At 39.2% G+C, this 20,637-nt stretch overlaps 1 protein-coding gene across 1 annotated transcript in view; it reads right to left on the bottom strand.

The window, feature by feature from the left end:
* The window catches only part of TIGAR (TP53 induced glycolysis regulatory phosphatase), a 38,816-nt gene that overhangs the window by 8,492 nt on the left and 9,687 nt on the right, over positions 1-20,637 (bottom strand). Inside the window, exons 2-5 of the mRNA NM_020375.3 lie at positions 20,220-20,257; positions 14,377-14,498; positions 1,641-1,718; positions 160-270 (exon numbers count right to left, since the gene is read on the bottom strand). Of these exons, the coding sequence (NP_065108.1) occupies positions 160-270; positions 1,641-1,718; positions 14,377-14,498; positions 20,220-20,257 (349 nt within the window). The remainder of the gene's footprint in view (positions 1-159; positions 271-1,640; positions 1,719-14,376; positions 14,499-20,219; positions 20,258-20,637) is intronic.

The raw sequence follows: 20,637 nt of genomic DNA, 5'->3' as shown, positions 1-20,637 counted from the left end.
TAAGATTTTAAATAGAAAAGAATAATTTGCTAAGTAAATAGATAATTTAAAATGGAAAAGAGAATGAACCAAGCAACTTTCAAACTGCTTAGCTAAAATTCCAAAACATCTAATTTTGAGTCTTAATTCAACCATTCTGACATCGGCAGCGCCACATACCTGGTCCAGCGTCTCTCCTCCGGGCGGTGTAAACACAGGGCACTCTTCCCTGGCTGCTTTGGCCATGGCCCTCAGCTCACTTAGCGCTTTGCCTTCTACAACCCCGTATTTCTGAAACAGTCCAATAGATAACAGTTTCTCAAATGAAATTGCAATATAACAATTAAGTTTATGTTTATGGCAAATTTAGAACATTCATCCCAGGAATAAGCTAACTCTCCTCCACTTAATTGATTCTATCTCCTCTGAACTGATAATGAGAATGTACTCAGTAGAGGGCCATGAACCTTAGAAAATATAATTGAAATCTTAAGTTGTACACTATGTCCAAATGGGTTATTTTAGAAGAACTTGCTATTGCAAGCAGATGGTGGGAATTTATTGAACAAATACAGAGATTTGCACAGATTATAGGACTAGAGATTAACATGCACAAGGTACCAATTCAGCCATCTCCCATCCACACATACTACACCATTTGATCCCAATGACAGCACCATGAAATAGCTAAATAAATATATCACCATAGTTATAAGGAAGTTGAGTTTCAGAGACGCTAACATGAGAGATCTATTTCTTTTTTTTTCTTTTTTTTTTTTTTGAGACGGAATCTCGCTCTGTCACCCAGGCTGGGGTGCCGTGGCGCGATCTCAGCTCACTGCAACCTCCGCCTCCTGGGTTCAAACGATTCTCTTGCCTCAGCCTCCCGAGTAGCTGGGACTACAGGCGCGTGCCACCACACCCGGCTAATTTTTTGTATTTTTAGTAGAGATGGTGTTTTACCATGTTAGCCAGAATGGTCTCAATCTCCTGAACTCAAGTGATCTGCCCACCTTGGCCTCCCAAAGTGCTGGGATTACAAGCGTAAGCCACCACGCCAGCCACATGGCAACATTGTTAAGCTATTAAATTGGAAAATCACAGAGTCTAATAATACCAATTGTTGGTGTAAAAAAACAAAACTTTCTCCTAGGTCATTCATGGGACTATAAATTGGCACAGGTTTTCTGGAAGGCAACTTGGCAATATGTATATAAATGCCTTTAAAAAAGTACACACTCGCCGATGTCCATTTCTAGAAATATATAGGTCTACAATAAATTAACTACAAAGATGTTTATTTTGACATTATTTACATCAGTGGTAGTCTAGTGAAAATCTAGCTTTCCATCAGCGTAGCTAGGTTACATAAATTATGCAATATCCATATTTTTCACCTTTACTTTAAACTCTTCTATACTGTGTTAAGTTCTTATGAGCGTACCTTCTTTTATACCTTAAGATGCTTGTCTCGTTTGATTTTAATAATAAGATCCTATATACGAGGGTATGTAACAGTGACTGTCATATGGTAGATTCTTAAATATTTTCACTGATTCGAAATCCCTAGCAGAAATGCATTTAACTTTTAGCCAAGTGACAAACTGAGGTGGCTTACTGATAATTTATGGGGAAGAACAATATGTAAATAAGTTACTCACCCTTTCCCGAAGTCTTGAGTCATACTTTACCGTCATATCTTTGCAAAATTTGCTTCTCTCCAAAATTCCATGCATGGTCTGAAAATCAAGACAATTGTTTCTTTCTTTATAAAAATAATCACCATTCTGGTGGAAGCACTGAAAGAATCTATGTCATCTTAGTGAATAAAAAAGAACTAGAACCAGGCACGGTGGCTCACACCTGTAATCCCAGCACTTTGGGAGGCTGAGGCGGGTGGATCATGAGGTCAGGAGATCGAGACCATCCTGGCCAACATGGTGAAACCCTATCTCTACTAAAAATACAAAAAATTAGCCGGATGTGGTGGCACGCACCTGTAGTTCCAGCTACTCGGGAGGCTGAGGCAGAAGAATTGCTTGAACCTGGGAGGCGGAGGTTGCAGTGAGCTGAGATTGCGCCACTGCACTCCAGCCTGGGTGACAGAATGAGACTCCATCTCAAAAAAAAAAAACAAAACTAGAAATGATTTTCCTTTGCAAAAGTTGCCTCTCTGTGTACATCTGTGTACACATCTGTGTCTCTTCATTCCTGATTTTGATATTCTCTTCTAACCTATCTTTTAGTTCAGAAGTCAGCACAATCCAGACCATCATCTGCTTTTGCAAATAAAGTATTTTACTGGGACACAGCCACAGCATTCATTCATGCACAGTTGATGGCTGCTTTCTTGCTATTACCGCAGACTTGAACAGGTGTTAACAGAGACTGTATAGACTATAAACCCTAAAAAAAAATTACTATCTGGCTCTTTACAGAAAATGTTTACTAATCCCCATTCTAATTCCTTAATTCGCCATTCAAATGTGTCTAAATTGTTGTTAAACCCATCCATTGAGCCTTAATTCCAATTGTATTTTTAGTTCTAGAATTTGCATTTGGCTCTTTTTTACAGTTTATTACAGTTCTGTACTGAAATTCTACATCTTTCACCTATACAAAAATATAGTTATTTTAAAGCTCATGTCTGGTAACTCCATCGGGTAAGTCATGTGGCTGTTTCTGTTGTCTTTAGCTCATTTTTATTCACATTTCCTTCTCTCATTGTAAGTCTAGCAATTTTTGATTGACAAGCGACCCTGTCACATAGAAATAATTTAGGTCCATGATCTGCCTTTTTTAAAAACACATTTCCCAACAAATTAGACATCATCATCATACTGTTTTATATGTACTGTCAATATTTCCTTGTATTTTCCTAAACCTTTACCAACTTCTTTGCTCACTATTCTTTTCTGAAACTCAGATCTCCCTTCTGCAATTATTTTCCTTCTTTTTCATTTTTCCTTTCAAAGTTACTTCAGAATCTCTTTGTCTGAAATGTCATTTCACCTACACAGCAGAAAAAAATCTTGCTGGGTATAAAACTCTAGGTTAATCCTTGTTATTTCTCAGCACAATAAAGAAATCATCAATATGAACAAATTTGCTGACAGCCTAACTAATGGTCTTTAATAAAGGATGGTTTTTTCCTCATTCTTTGGAGTCTTGCAATTTTGCTATAATGAATGTAGATATGGGTTTCTTTACTTATCCTGGTTGGGATTTGGTACACTTCTTGGATCTTTCAACAATTCTGTAAATTCTGTAAAATTGTCAATATTCTGTAACCTCTGAATATCACCTCTTCCTCCCATTCTCTCTGCTATCTCTTTCTGAAAGACATTAGAACTTCTCATCATGCTCTTCATGTCTTCTAATGTCTCCTATTTTATTTATTTTTTAAAGGGACTTTTTTTTTTGAGACAGGGTCTCGCTCTGTCACCCAGGCTGGAGTGAAGTGACACAATCACGATTCACTGCAGCCTCAACTACCTGAGCTCAAGTGATCCTCCCACCCCAGCCTCCCAAGTAGCTGGGACTACAGGCAAGTGCCACCACACTCAGCTAACTTTTTTATTTTCTGTAGAGACAAGGTCTCCCTATGTTGCCCAGGCTGGTCTCAAACTCCTGAGCTCAAGTGATCTTCCCGCTTCGGCCTCCCAAAGTGCTGCAATTTCAGGCATCAGCCACTGTGCCCAGCTAAACTCTCATATTTTAAATCTATCATGCCGTGCTACATTTAGGTTATTATCATATATTTATCTATAATGATCACTTCAGCCGTGTGTGATCTATACTTCAGTACTTCCACTGAGGTTTTCATTTTTTGGCTTTTTTCTGTTTGTATTTTAATTTTTAATTTTTGTGGGTATACAGTAAATGTATATATTTATGGGGCACATGAGACACTTTGATACAGCCATGCAATGCATGACAATCACATCCTGGTAAGCAGGGTATCCATCCCCATAAGCATTTATCCTTTTTGTTACGAATGATCCAATTATATCCTTTTAGTTATTTTCAAATGTACAATTACATTGTTATTGACTATAGCCACCCTGTTGCGCTATCAAATACTAGGTCTTATTCATTCTTTCTTTTTGTACCCATTAACCATCCCCACTTCCCCAACACCTCCCCCTACTACCTTTCCCAGACTCTGGTAACCATCCTTCTACTCTCTATCTCCATGAGTTCAATTGTTTTAATTTTTTGCTCCAACAAATAAGTGAGAACATGACAAGTTTGTCTTTCTGTGCCTGGCTTACTTCACTTAACATAATGACCTCCAGTTCCATCCATGTTGTTGCAAATGACAGGATCTCATTCTTCTCTGTGGTTGAAAAGTACTTCATTGTTTGTGTGTGTACATTTCCTTTATCCATTCATCTGCTGATGGACATTTGGATTATTTCCAAATCTTGGCTACTGTAAAAAGTGCTGCAATATGGGAGTGCAGATATCTCTTCAATATCCTGATTTCCTTTCTTTGGGTACATACCTAGCAGTGGAACTTCTGGATCACATGGTAGCTCTATTTTTAGTTTTTTGAGGAACCTCCCTCCAAACAATTCTTCACAGTGGTTGTACTAATTCACATTCCCACCAACAGCATACAAGTGTTCCCTTTCCTCCATGGCCTTGCCTGCATGTGTTATTGCCTGTCTTTTGGATAAAAGCCATTTTAACTGGGGTAAAATACTCATTGTAGTTTGGATATGCATTTCTCTGATTACCAATGATGTTGAGCACTTTTTCATATGTCTCTTTGTCATTTTTTTTTAATATATATTTTTTATTATACTTTAAGTTCTAGGGTACATGTGCACGACGTGCAGGTTTGTTACATATGTATACATGTGCCATGTTGGTGTGCTGCATCCATTAACTCGCCATTTACATTAGGTATATCTACTAATGCTATCCCTCCCCCGTCCCCCCATCCCACAACAGGCCCTGGTGTGTGATGTTCCCCTTCCTGTGTCCAAGTGTTCTCATTGTTCAATTCCCACCTACGAGTGAGAAAACGCGGTGTTTGGTTTTTTGTCCTTGCCATGGTTTGCTGAGAATGATGGTTTCCAGCTTCATCTATGTCCCTACAGAGGACATGAACTCATCCTTTTTTATGGCTGCATAGTATTCCATGGTGTATATGTGCCACATTTTCTTAATCCAGTCTATCATTATTGGACATTTGGGTTGGTTCCAAGTCTTTGCTATTGTGAATAGTGCCGCAATAAACATACATGTGTATGTGTCTTTATAGCACATGATTTATAATCCTTTGGGTATATACCCAGAAATGGGATGGCTGGGTCAAATGGTATTTCTAGTTCTAGATCCCTGAGGAATTGCCACACTGTCTTCCACAATGGTTGAACTTGTTTACAGTCCCACCAACAGTGTAAAAGTGTTCCTATTTCTCCACATCCTCTCCAGCACCTGTTGTTTCCTGACTTTTTAATGATTGCCATTCTAACTGGTGTGAGACGGTATCTCATTGTGGTTTTGATTTGCATTTCTCTGATGGCCAGTGATGATGAGCATTTTTTCATCTGTCTGTTGGCTACATAAACTTCTTCTTTTGAGAAGTGTCTGTTCATATCCTTTGCCCACTTGTTGATGGGGTTGTTTTTTTCTTGCAAATTTGTTTGAGTTCTTTGTAGATTCTGGATATAAGCCCTTTGTCAGATGAGTAGATTGGAAAAATTTTCTCCCATTCTGTAGGTTGCCTGTTCACTCTGATGGTAGTTTCTTTTGCTGTGCAGAAGCTCTTTAGTTTAATTAGATCCCATTCGTCAACTTTGGCTTTTGTTGCCATTGCTTTTGGTGTTTTAGTCATGAAGTCCTTGCCCATGCCTATGTCCTGAATGGTATTGCCTAGGTTTTCTTCTAGGGTTTTTATGGTTTTAGGTCTAACATGTAAGTCTTTACTCCATCTTGAATTAATTTTTGTATAAGGTGTAAGGAAGGGATCCAGTTTCAGCTTTCTACATATGGCTAGCCAGTTTTCCCAGCACCATTTGTTGAATAGGGAATCCTTTCCCCATTTCTTGTTTTTGTCAGGTTTGTCAAAGTTCAGATAGTTGTAGATGTGTGGTATTATTTCTGAGGGCTCTGTTCTGTTCCATTGGTCTATATCTCTGTTTTGGTACCAGTACCATGCTGTTTTGGTTACTGTAGCCTTGTAGCATAGTTTGAAGTCAGGTAGCGTGATGCCTCCAGCTTTGTTCTTTTGGCTTAGGATTGACTTGGCAATGTGGGCTCTTTTTTGGTTCCATATGAACTTTAAAGTAGTTTTTTCCAAGTCTGTGAAGAAAGTCATTGGTAGCTCGAAGGGGATGGCATTGAATCTATAAATTACCTTGGGCAGTATGGCCATTTTCATGATATTGATTCTTCCTATCCATGAGCATGGAATGTTCTTCCATTTGTTTGTGTCCTCTTTTATTTCATTGAGCAGTGGTTTATAGTGCTCCTTGAAGAGGTCCTTCATATCCCTTGTAAGTTGGATTCCTAGGTATTTTATCCTCTTTGAAGCAATTGTGAATGGGAGTTCACTCATGATTTGGCTGTTTGTTATTGGTGTATAATAAGGCTTGTGATTTTTGCACATTGATTTTGTATCCTGAGACTTTGCTGAAGTTGCTTATCAGCTTAAGGAGATTTGGGGCTGAGACAATGGGGTTTTCTAGATATACAATCATGTCATCTGCAAACAGGGACAATTTGGCTTCCTCTTTTCCTAATTGAATACCCTTTATTTCTTTCTCCTGCCTGATTGCCCTGGCCAGAACTTCCAACACTATGTTGAATAGGAGTGGTGAGAGAGCTCCCATCAATATCTAATTTATTGAGAGTTTTTAGCATGAAGGGCTGTTGAATTTTGTCAAAGGCCTTTTCTGCATCTATTGAGATAATCATGTGGTTTTTGTCTTTGGTTCTGTTTATATGCTGGATTACGTTTATTGATCTGCATATGTTGAACCAGCCTTGCACCCCAGGGATGAAGCCCACTTGATCATGGTGGATAAGCTTTTTGTTGCGCTGCTGGATTCGGTTTGCCAGTATTTTATTGAGGATTTTTGCATCAATGTTCATCAGGGATATTGGTCTAAAATTCTTTTTTTGTTGTGTCTCTGCCAGGCTTTGGTATCAGGATGATGCTGGCCTCATAAAATGAGTTAGGGAGGATTCCCTCTTTTTCTATTGATTGGGATAGTTTCAGAAGGAATGGTACCAGCTCCTCCTTGTACCTCTGGAAGAATTCGGCTGTGAATCCGTCTGGTCCTGGACTTTTTTTGGTTGGTAAGCTATTAATTATTGCCTCAATTTCAGAGCCTGTTACTGGTCTAATCAGAGATTCAACTTCTTCCTGTTTTAGTCTTGGGAGGGTGTAGGTGTCGAGGAATTTATCCATTTCTTCTAGACTTTCTAGTTTATTTGTGTAGAGGTGTTTATAGTATTCTCTGATGGTAGTTCGTATTTCTGTGGGATCTGTGGTGATATCCCCTTTATCATTTTTTATTGCTTCCATTTGATTCTTCTCTCTTTTCTTTATTGGTCTTGCTAGCGGTCTATCAATTTTGTTGATCTTTTCAAAAAACCAGCTCCTGGATTCATTGATTTTTGGAAGGGTTTTTTGTGTCTCTGTCTCCTCCAGTTCTGCTCTGATCTTAGTTATTTCTTGCCTTCTGCTAGCTTTTGAATTTGTTTGCTCTTGCTTCTCTAGTTCTTTCAATTGTGATGTTAGGGTGCCAACTTTAGATCTTTCCTGCTTTCTCCTGTGAGCATTTAGTGCTATAAATTTCCCTCTACACACTGCTTTAAATGTGTCCCAGAGATTCTGGTATGTTGTCTCTTTGTTCTCATTGGTTTCAAAGAACATCTTTATTTCTGCCTTCATTTCGTTATGTACCCAGTAGTCATTCAGGAGCAGGTTGTTCAGTTTCCATGTAGTTGAGTGGCTTTGAGTTTCTTAATTCTGAGTTCTAGTTTGATTGCACTATGGTCTGAGAGATAGTTTGTTATAATTTCTGTTCTTTTGCATTTGCTGAGGAATGCTTTACTTCCAACTATGTGGTCAATTTTGGAATAAGTGCAGTGTGGTGCTGAGAAGAATGTATATTCTGTTGATTTGGGGTGGAGAGTTCTGTAGATGTCTATTAGGTGTGCTTGGTGCAGAGTTGAGTTCAATTCCTGGATATCCTTTTAACTTTCTGTCTTGTTGATCTGTCTAATGCTGACAGTGGGGTGTTAAATTCTCCCATTATTATTGTGTGGGAGTTGAAGTCTCTTTGTAGGTCACTAAGGACTTGCTTTATGAATCTGGGTGCTCCTATATTGGGTGCATATATATTTAAGATAGTTAGCACTTCTTGTTGAATTGATCCCTTTACCATTATGTAATGGCCTTTGTCTCTTCTGATCTTTGCTGGTTTAAAGTCCATTTTATCAGAGACTAGAACTGCAACCCCTGCCTTTTTTTGTTTTCCATTTGCTTGGTAGATCTTCCTCCATCCCTTTATTTTGAGCCTAGGTGTGTCTCTGCATGTGAGACGGATTTCCTGAATACAGCACACTGATGGGTCTTGACTCTTTATCCAAGTTGCCAGTCTGTGTCTTTTAATTGGAACATTTAGCCCATTTACATTTAAGGTTAATATTGTTATGTGTGAATTTGATCCTGTCATTATGATGTTAGCTGCTTATTTTGCTCATTAGTTGATGCAGTTTCTTCCTAGCATTGATGGTCTTTACAATCTGACATGTTTTTGCAGTGGCTGGTACTGGTTGTTCCTTTCCATGTTTAGTGCTTCCTTCAGGAGCTCTTTTAGGGCAGGCCTGGTGGTGCCGAAATCTCTCAGCATTTGCTTGTCTGTAAAGGATTTTATTTCTCCTTCACTTATGAAGCTTAGTTTGGCTGGATATGAAATTCTGGGTTGAAAATTCTTTTCTTTGAGAATGTTGAATATTGGCCCCCACTCTCTTCTGGCTTGTAGAGTTTTTACCAAGAGATCTGCTGTTAGTCTGATGGGGTTCCCTTTGTGGGTAACCTGACCTTTCTCTCTGGCTGCCCTTAACATTTTTTCCTTCATTTCAACTTTGGTGAATCTGACAATTATGCATCTTGGAGTTGCTCTTCTTGAGGAGTATCTTTGTGGCATTCTCTGTATTTCCTGAATTTGAATGTTGGCCTGCCTTGCTAGGTTGGGGAAGTTCTCCTGGATAATATGCTGCAGAGTGTTTTCCAACTTGGTTCCATTCTCCCTGTCACTTTCAGGTACACCAATCAGACATAGATTTGGTCTTTTCACATAGTCCCATATTTCTTGGAGGCTTTGTTCATTTCTTTTTATTCTTTTTTCTCTAAACCTCTCTTCTCACTTCATTTCATTCATTTGATCTTCAATCACTGATACCCTTTCTTCCAGTTGATCGAATTGGCTACTGAAGCTTGTGCATTCATCACGTAGTTCTCATGCCATGGTTTTCAGCTCCATCAGGTCCTTTAAGGACTTCTCTGCATTGGTTATTCTAGTTAGCCATTCGTCTGATCTTTTTTCAAGGTTTTTAACTTCTTTGCAATGGGTTCGAACTTCCTCCTTTAGCTCAGAGAAGTCTGATCATCTGAAGCTTTCTTCTCTCAGCTCGTCAAAGTCATTCTCCGTCCAGCTTTGTTCCGTTGCTGGTGAGGAGCTGCGTTCCTTTGGAGGAGAGGCGCTCTGATTTTTAGAATTTTCAGTTTTTCTGCTCTGTTTTTTCCCCATCTTTGTGGTTTTATCTACCTTTGGTCTTTGATGATGGTGACGTACAGATGGGGTTTTGGTATGGATGTCCTTTCTGTTTGTTAGTTTTCCTTCTAACAGTCAGGATCCTCAGCTGCAGGTCTGTTGGAGTTTGCTGGAGGTCCACTCCAGACCCTGTTTGCCTGGGTATCAGCAGTGGAGGCTGCAGAACAGCAAATATTGCTGAACAGCAAATGTTGCTGCCTGATCGCTCCTCTGGAAGTTTTGTCTCAGAGGGGTACCCGGCCGTGTGAGGTGTCAGTCTGCTCCTACTGGGGGGTGCCTCCCAGTTAAGCTACTCGGGGGTCAGGGACCCATGTGAGGAGGCAGTCTGTCCGTTCTCAGATCTCAAACTCCATGCTGGGAGAACGACTACTCTCTTCAAAGCTCAGTTGGAAATGCAGAAATCACCCGTCTTCTGCGTCGCTCACGCTGGGAGCTGCAGACTGGAGCTGTTCCTAATCGGCCATCTTGGAACCGCCCCCCCTCTCTTTGTCATTTGTATGTCTTCTTTTGAGAAACATCTATTCAGACATTTTGCCCATTTTTAGTTGGATTATTAGATTTTTTCCTATAAAGTTGTTTGAGCTCCTTATATACTCTGGTTATTAATCCCTTGTCAGATGGGTAGTTTACAAATATTTTCTCCCATTCTGTGGGTTGTCTCTTCACTTTGTTGATTGTTTCCTTTGCTGCACCAAAGCTTTTAAACTTGATGTGATCCCATTTGTCCATTTTTGCTTTGGTTGCCTGTGCTTGCAGGTTATTGCTCAAGAAATCTCTGGCCAGAACAATGTTCTGGAGAGTTTCCCCAATGTTTTCTTGTAGTAGTTTCATAGTTTGAGGTCTTAGATTTAAGTCTTCAATCCATTTTATTTGATATTTGTATATGGAGAAAGACAGGGGTCTAGTTTCATTCTTCTGTATATGGATATCCAGTTTTCCAAGCACTATTTATTGAAGAGACTCTCCCAATGTATCTTCTTGGCATCTTTGTCAAAAATGAATTTGCTGCAGATGCATGGATTTGTTTCTGGGTTCTCTATTCTGGTCTATTGGTCTATGTGTCTGTTTTTATGTCAGTACCATGCTATTTTGGTTTCTATAGCTCTTTGTATAATTTGAAGTCAGGTACTGTGATTCTTCCAATTTTGTTTTTGCTAAGGATGGCTTTGGCCATTCTGGGTCTTTTGCAGTTCCACATAAATTTTAGGATGCTTTTTTCTACTTCTGTGAAGAATGTCATTGGTATTTTGATAGAAATTGCATTGAATCTGTAGATTGCTTTGGGTAGTATGAACATTTTAACAATATTGACTCTTCTAATCTATGAATATAGAATATCTTTCCATTTCTTTGTTGTCCTCTTTAACTTCTTTCATCAGTGTCTTATAGTTTTCCTTGTGGAGCTCTTTCACTTCTTTGGTTAATTCCTGAGTATTTAATTTTATTTGTGGCTACTGTAAATGAGATTACTTCTTCTTTTTCAGATTATTCATTGTTGGCATATTCAAATGCTACTGATTTTTGTATCTTGCTTTGCATCCTGCAACTTTACCAAATGTATCAGTTCTAATTGTTTTTTGGTGGGGTTTTCAGGTTTTTCCAAATATAAGATCCTATCATCTGCAAACAAGGATAATTTGATTTCTTCCTTTCCGATTTAAATGTTATTCCTTTCTCTTGTCTGATTGCTCCAGCTAAGACTTCCAGTACTACGTTGAATAACAGTGGTGAAAATGGGCATCCTTGTCTTGTTCTAGATCTTAGAGGAAAGGCTTTCAGTTTCTCCTCACTCAGTATGACATAAGCTGTGGGTCTATTGCATACGGCTTTTATTGTGTTGAGGCTTTTACTGTACTGTTTTATATTGTTCCTTCCGTACCTAGGTTGTTTTTGGGTTTTCATCATGAAGGGATGTTAGATTTTATCAAATGCTTTTTCAGCCTCAATTGAAATGATCATATGGTTTCTGTCCTTTATTCTGTTGATATAATGTATCACATTGATTCACTTGTTTATGTTGAAACATCCTTGCATCCCTGGGATTAATCCCCCTCAGTCAGGTAGAATGATCTTTCTAATGGTATTGTTGAATTTGGTTTGCTAGTATTTTGTTAAGGATTTTTGTGTCAATCTTCATCAGGAATACTGGCCTGTAGTTTTCTTCTTTTAATGTGTCTGTCTGGTTTTGGTATCAGGATACTACTGGCCTCACAGAATAAGTTTGGAAGTATTCCCTCCTCCTCTATTTTATGGAATAGTTTCAGTAGGATTGGTATTAGTACTTTAGATGTTTGGTAGAATTCAGCAGTGAAGCCATCAGGTCCCAGACTCTTCTTTACTGGGAGACTTTTATAATGGCTTCAATCTTGGTACTTGTTATTATTCTGTTTAGGCTTTGGATTTCTTCCTGGTTCAATCTTGGTAGGTTGCACGTGTCTAGGAATTTGTGCATTTCCTCTAGATTTTCCAATTTTTTGGCATATAGTTGCTGATAGTAGCCCTTAATGCTCCTTTGAATTTCTGAGATATTGGTTGTAATATCTCCTTTTTCATCTGATATTACCTATTTGGATCTTTATCTTCTTAGTTAAATCTACCTAAAGGTCTGTCAATTTTATCTTTTCAAAATACCAATTTATCATTTCACTGATCTTTTGGAGTCTTCATTTCAATTTCAATTATTTGTGCTCTGATCATTATTATTTTTCTTCTAATAATTTTGGATTTGGTTTACTCTTGCTTTTCTAGTTCTTTCTGTCTTTTTTTTTTTTTTTTTTTTTGTGAGACAAAGTTTTGCTTTGTTGCCCAGGCTGGAGTGCAGTGGCACAATCTCAGCTCACTGCAACCTCTGCCTCCCAGGTTCAAGCAATTCTCATGCCTCAGCCTGCTAAGTAGCTGGGATTACAGGTGCCTGCCACCACGCCAGGCAGATTTGTTATTTCAGTGGAGACGGTGTTTCACCGTATTGCCCAGGCTGGTCTTGAACTCCTGAGCTCAGGCAATCCTCCCATCTCGGCCTCCCAAAGTGGCTTTTCTTGTTCTTTAAGATGCATTGTTAGATGTTTATTTGGAGTTTTTCTTCTTTTTTTGATGTAGGTACTTACAGCTAAAATTTCCCTAATATTTTTGCTGTATCCCACAGGTTTTGGTATATTGTGTTTCCATTATCATTTGTTTCAAGAAATGTTTCAATTTAAAGAAATTCTTGTACATATTTCTAGAGTTCTTTGTCTATCCACGTCTTTCTTCCATTACTCTGCCCCACAAATTTAAGTTATGTAAAAATTAACCTCCCCAAATTCCAAGTTTTGTCTCCTTAACTCACGGAGACCTCTAAGCACTACTTGGCTTCCCCTACCAGAGTCTGGAAATTGCTTCAGCCAGAAAACCAGGACACTCCCTAGGGCTCACCTTCTTTGTTCTACTTCATTCAGGCATCATAGGCCCACAGTGCCCAAAGTCTAATATCTGAAAACAGTGGTTTCACATATTTTGCCACATTTTCTAATTGTTTATAGGGGAGATGAAATTCCAACAATACCTCACTCACAGTTGGTCACAAAACTCTCCTTCCATGGAGTTTTTAGAAGTAGACTGGGTTCGTTTTTAATTTTACTTTTTTTTTATTTTCGAGACAAGAGTCTTGCTCTGTAGCCCAACCATGCAACGGCACGATCTTGGCTCACTGCAACCTCTGCCTCCTGTGTTCAAGCGATTCTCCTGCCTCAGCCTCCCAAGTAGCTGGGATTAAGGTGCACGCCACCACACCTGGCTAATTTTTGTATTTGTAGTGGAGATAGGGTTTCACCATGTTGGCCAGGCTGGTCTTGAACTCCTGACCTCAAGTGATCCACCTGCCTCGGCCTCCCAAAGTGCAGGGATCACAGGCATGAGCCACCATGCCCAACTGGTTTTTCATTTTTATAGTAATCTGTTCCCTGAAGATATTTCTAACAAGTCTTTTATTTCTTTACAGTGACATAGTGGTTTCTTACTCTATCTGGTAATCCTAATACCTGATGTCACAGTGGATTAATTTCTCCTGTCATTTTCCCTGCTCTCTCTCATAATAGCTTATTTATATTCTTGCTGGACTTTTTTTTCTAGGCTACTCTAATTTAAAAATTATTTTTTTTAAAAAGTACAAAATAAAATTAAAATAAATAAGTTCTGTTGAGGAAGGTCATGTCTGTTTGGGATTTAATTCCCTACAGACTCTGGTAGCAGATTTTTCAAGATTATACAATTGTTGAGACTTTTGGCACATCAGCCTAGACCTTGACTCTAAACTCACCTGTTGCTGGGCGTGGTGGCTCACGCCTGTAATCCCAGCACTTTGGGAGGCTGAGGCAAGTGGATCACCTGAGGTTAGGGGTTTGAGACCAGCAACATGGCAAAACCCCATCTCTACTAAAAATACAAAAATTAGCTAGGTGTGGTGGCACACACCTGTAATCCCAGCTATTGGGAGGCTGAGGCATCAGAATCACTTGAACCCGGGAGATGGAGGTTGCAGTGAACAGAGACTGCACCACTGCACTCCAGCCTGGGCATAGAGTGACGCTCTGTCTCAAAATAAATAAATAAATAAATGTACCTGCTTTGTCCTCATGAGATCACTGGAGAAAGCATGAGTAAACTTCACATTATTCAGAAATATACCAGCAGCTGCTGCTTGTTTAAATCCAGTTTCTGAAAGAGGTTCATCTACTCCTTGTCCTGTGATATATTAAGAAGAGGAACAATAACATTCAAAACTACATATCAGAGATGTATAAATCACATGTAGAAAATATAAGCTGCATTTATCTAAATTTTAATGAAAGATTTTTTAAGTACTCTTCCACGTAACTTTTCAGGGAGTTATTAGCAAGTAAAAATAAGTTTTAAGTCTTTAAAGGCTCAGGTATTCAATTATTTTCCAAAAGAATGCTTGCCTAATGGGAATTAGGTGATGATGAGATAGAAATGTCTTAGCTTTTCCCTCTTTTATGTTTGCCCCTCTCTTCATTAATTGGCTCTGATCTTACAGGTACTGTGTTGGGGCGGTAGGACCATCATCTAAAAGTTTTTTCCTTCTTTATTCCCATCATCCAAATGCTCAGTATTATAATGGTATTACTTTTCCTCTTTCCTTCCTCCCTCCATTTCTTTGTCTTTTTCATTTTAAAAATGCTTTGAAACCTCTATTTCCAGGATAACGGTTGGCTGGACACTCTGAAGGGACCTCCTACTAAAGATCTAAATGGTGTATGTGTGTGAGTGTGTGTGTGTGTGTGTGTGTGTGTGTGTGTGTGTGTGTGTGTGTGTGCTGCATTGCTGGGCCCACAGAACATACAAAAAATCTCCAAGGGACAAAGTAAAGCAACCCCAAAGCCCTGAGCTGAACTGTGAATACCGACATGAAAAAAATGAAGGTGGTGGACTATGAGGACACGCTGGTGGGGCTGGGAGAGGAGGCCTGCTGGAGGGGACGGCAAGCGGGAGGACTAAACACAACATTCTTGGGAGCGAGGGCTCCTGTAAGGAGACTTAATGCAGCCTCAGGCCTGTGGTAAAATAAAATGCAAATCCTTTTCAGAGCAAAGCATTCTCAAAAGAGGCTAACAGGTTTTCCACTAATTTAGAACAAATAATTGTTTAGCCAAAGATTCAACACACAAGAAAATAATCTACCATAAACCAAAGCCACCCATCAAGACTTCAGACATTGAAATCAGCAAATAGGGAATTTACAATAACTATGAATAAAACATAAAGACAGAGTCACAAAAATAAGCAAGTAACAGTAAGCATCAAAAATAAGTAGACAATTTTCTAAAATAACCAAATAGATCTTTTAATAATAAAAATCAGGATTGCTGGGGGCTGGAGGGCCCCTCAATGGATAAACAGAGATTCAGATGAAAGGAGGTTTAATGAACTCAAAGACAGAGCAGAAGATATTACCCAGTACACGGCACAGATACAAGGAGATAGAGCATAGCTCAGATATATTAGAGTTCTAAAGGAAAGAATGAGAACTCCTAACGATGCCTTGTCTTAGTTGCTGTAACAAAGTACTACAGACTGGGTGACTTGTTAACAACAGATATTTATTTCTCACAGTTCTGGAGGCTGGAAGTTTGAGATGAGGGTACCATCATGGTTGGGTTCTGGTGAGGGCCTCTCCACATTACACGCTACTGACTTCTCCTTCAGTGCTCCCATGGCACAAAGAGGAAAGAGCTCTCTGGTGTCTCTTGAATAAATTCCATTCATGAGGGCTGCACCCTTGTGACCTAATAACCACCCAAAGACCCCACCTCCTAATGTCATCATATTGGGAGTTATGATTTCAACATGTAACTTTTGGGAAGAAAAACATTCAGTCTATAACATGCATCTAATTGGAACTCTAAAGGAATAAAAAAAAAAAAATGGCCGGGCATGGTGGCTCACGCCTGCAATCCCAGCACTTTGGGAGGCTGAAGGGGGTGGATCACTCGAGGTCAGGAGTTCAAAGTCAGACTGGCCAACATGGCGAAATCCTGTCTCTACTAAAAATACAAAATTAGCTGGGCATGGTGGAGCACGCCTGTAATCCCAGCTACTTGGAAGGCTGAGGCAGGAGAATCACTTGAGCCCAGGAGGCGGAGGTTGCAGTGAGTCAAGATCACACCACTGCACTCCAGCCTGGGCAACAAGAGTGAAACTCCGTCTCAAAAAAATAAAAGAACAGAAAAAATGAAGGAGAGGAATATGAAAAGAAAATAGCTAAGAATTTCACAGAATAAGAAAACACATGTACATCAAGCAGGATACATTAAAAAAAAAATTCCTCCTAGATATATTATGAGAAACTAAAGAATATCAAAATTGAAGAGTTTAAAGGAAGTTACAGAGAAAGACATATTTCCTACCATGGAACACCATTTAGCTGATAGAAATCTCTTAACAGGAAAAATGGAACCAAAACTGCAGAATGCTATCTTCCAAGTGCTGAGAGAATCATCAGTTACAAGTGTGTACCGACTGAAGCCACTATGTTTACCACCAGCTGCTCTACACACACTAGAGGACTTTTCAAAGAACGTACTTCAGGAATGGTCTGAGACGAAAACAAATGAGGAGCAGAGAAACTTGCAAATATATTCATAAATTTAAATGCCATCTAAACAAATGAAGATAATAATGTCTACCTCAAGCAATTAAAAAAAGACAGGACTAAGCGACTAGACAAGTTCTTTGTATTTTTTGGAAGAGGGGATATTAATATTATACTTTATTAGGTATTGTCAGAGTAAATGTGTCCCCCCAAAATTCAAATGTTGACATCCTAACCCTCAATGTGATCGTATTAGGAGGCAGGCCTTTGGGAGGTGATTAGATCCTAGGGTGGAGCCCTCATGAACAGGATTAGTGTCCTTATAAGTGTTCTCAATCTATCTCTCTGCCATGTGAGGATATTAACCAGAAGACAGCAGTCCGCAAACCAGGAATCAGGTCCTCCACAGACACTGGATCTGCTGGCACCCTGATCTTGGAATTCACAGTCTCTAGAACTGTGTATTGTTTAAGCCACTGGGTCCATGATACTCTGTTACAGCAGCCTTGGCTAAGACAGGTATGAGGGTAAGAATTTTAAGATAACCTTGAAAAGAATGGAAATGGTACATCATTTGAAAGGTAGTGGGGAAAGTAAGAAAGTGTGGAACAGGAAAAAAACCAAGAACTTAAGAAGTAAAAGCAGGTAAGATTAAAAAAAGAAAGACTATAAAAAGAAGGGGAAAAAAAAAACAAAGAAAAAAAATCGAAACACATCAGTGACCAGAATAAAGGCAAACAGTCACTACTGCCAGTTAAAAGACAGATTCTAGGCCAAGCGTGGTGGCTCACGCCTGTAATCCCAACACTTTGGGAGGCCAAGGCAGATGGGTCACCTGAGGTCAGGAGTTTGAGACCTGCCTGGCCAACATGGTGAAACCCCGTCTCTACTAAAAATACAAAAATTAGGCCAGGCGCGGTGGCTAACGCCTGCAATCCCAGCACTTTGGGAGGCCGAGGTGGGTGGATCACCAGGTTAGTTCGAGACCAGCCTGACCAATGTGGTAAAACCCCGTCTCTACTAAAAATACAAAAACTAGCCGAGCCTGGTAGTGTGCACCTGTAATCCCAGCTACTCAGGAGGCTGAGACAGGAGAATCGCTTGAACCCGGGAGGTGGAGGTTGCAGGAGCCGAGATCACGCCATTGCACTCCAGCCTGGGCAACAGAGTGAGACTCCGTCTCAAAATAAATAAATAAATAAAAATTTAAAAAATGAGCCAGGTGTGGTGCCGGGAACCTGTAATCCCAGCTACTCGGGAGTCTCGGGCAGGAGAATTGCTTGAACCCGGGAGGCAGAGGTTGCAGTGAGCTGAGATCGCGCCATTGCACTCCACCCTGGGTGACAGAGCAAGACTCTGTCTCAAAAAAAAAAAAAGACAACTTATATATATTTTCAAAAGAGCCAAAATTTAGCTACATACTATTTATGAGATAACACTTAAACATGAGTATACACAAAGAGTGAAAGGAATGAGATGGAAAAATACATACCAGTGAAATTCCATCCCCAAAACAGCTCAAGTAGCTATATTACTGTCAGAAAAATAAGACTTTATGACAAAAGTCTCACTAAGGATTTGGGGACCACTATAAGAAAATCAGTGATCCAATTTACTCAGAAGATGTAATCATTTAAACTTGTATAAGCCTAATAAAGTAACCTCAGTCGATACAAAAGCAGAACATAGAAACCAAAAATGGATAGAATTCCAAGTATTAAAGGGCAAACTGGCCACTGCAGCAGGAAATTAAAAATACTGCACTCATAAATTGATATTTAGGACATGCAGGCAAACTAGTGCATTTATAAAGCTAATAAAGTGTGTAAGATTTGAAAAACAAAATCAAGAAGGCTGATTATTTTATATATAATTCCAGTCCCAACAATGACGGATTATACATTTTTCTGAAGCATACAATGGAAGAATTATAAAAACTGACCATAATTAACACATTTCAAAGAAGTATCATCAAATAAACCATACTGACAGAACACAAAAGCATTTATAATGGAAGTCACTCAATGGGAATTGAAAATACTTGGTGCTGAATGCTTACCACATTACCACGTGTCAAAACTACGGGCATGCAAACAAAAACAGTACTTAGGAATATATAAGCCTTGAGGCCGCGTGCGGCGGCTCAGGCCTGTAATTCCAGCACTTTGGGATGCTAAGGCAGGCATATCAACTGAGGTCAGGAGTTCAAGACCAGCCTGGCCAACATGGCAAAACACCACCTCTACCAAAAATACAAAAATTAGCTGGGCATGGGGGCACGTGCCTGTAATCCCAGCTACTCAGGAGGCTGAGACATGAGAAATCGCTTGAACCTGGGAGGCGGAGGTTGCAGTGAGCCGAGTTCGCACCACTGCACTCCAGGTTGGGCGGCACAGTGAGACCCTGACTCAAAAAAAAAAAAAAAAAAAAAAGAAATACATGAGCCTTGAATGCTTATACACAAAAGGCTGTAACTTAAAGAACTAAAGCATCCAACTGACAAGGTCAGGAAAAGAACACAAAAACTTTCTTGACGTTCCATTGTCAATGTCTTAGGAAAAAGAGAAATGAGCAATACCAAAGGCCAGGTGGTAAGAGGCTTCAGTCCAGAGGATAACCTGGGTGGGGCATATTTCGTCTGAAAACAAAGGTTCCTTTGAGAATCAGACCAGTTATTGTCCATAAAAGGGAGTCAGGCACACGGAATATGAAAATCAGTTTTTGTAAACCCCGGAAGTCCCTAACCAAAAAAATAAAACTAAATGCTTTTATAATCACAGCACAGAAATAGCATGTCTAGCCAAAAGTTCAAGATATTCTTAAAAAGCCAGACTAGCTGGATCACAGGGCAAATAAAAGATCTGAGTCCAAATTAACAGAAAAAGGGAGAAAGAATCTCTTCAGAATAAAGTAACGACCACATGTGAAAATAGTTCTTTTTTTAAACCTTTATTACTACTAAAATTAAAATAACCATCTTAGCAGAAAAAAATACCATTAACACCAGTCAGTAAACTTCATGTTTCCAAATATAAAATAATTTCAAATCCAGACATTTATATTTTAAGACACCCAGACCCAATATAATTAATCAGCTGACAGAGCCACTTTGAAGCCATACATAAAGAATAACTTGGAGACCTGTACTTCACACCCAGTTCACTTGAGAGATTTATTCCTCCTGGTTACTAACAGCCCTGATCATATTTCTGTGGTTATGATGCTTTGATTCTGTAATCCCAATTCACAATGGAGTGCTGCCCCCAGTCTACCCCACCCCACCAAATCTGCTTAACTCACACATCTTATTAACACAAGGGTGAGAGCTAAAATAACAATCGGATTATACCAACCTTGGATTATTTTCTCCTTGTTAAATCTTGTTTCTCCACTAAAATAGAAAGAGAAGGACAACCTTATTAGCCAAATTATACTGTTTTTGAGAGGAGGAAAAAAATGAGCAATCAAGTGTGGTGATACTCTAAAAATATCATGTGAAACTTGTAACACACTTCATAATCCAACCTGTAAAAACAATTTATTCTAAACTAATATTTGCAATTGTCTTCTTTAATGAAGAGCTAAGAATTTCAAACTACTCCAAACTAAAACGTGTAGATCAGGAACCAATCTTAAGTGAATTGCAGGTGGAAAATCCTACTAAAAAATATAATGCAAATAACATTTCAGCCAAATAATTTTGTTAAAAGAAATATATTGATCAAAACTACTCTTACTGGCAGCAGGAACAAAAACGTGAGAGTCAGTCTA

The sequence above is a fragment of the Homo sapiens genome, chromosome 12 (assembly GCF_000001405.40).
Source record: "Homo sapiens chromosome 12, GRCh38.p14 Primary Assembly".
Lineage (NCBI taxonomy): Eukaryota > Metazoa > Chordata > Mammalia > Primates > Hominidae > Homo > Homo sapiens.
This window is presented reverse-complemented; position numbering and strand designations above follow the sequence as displayed.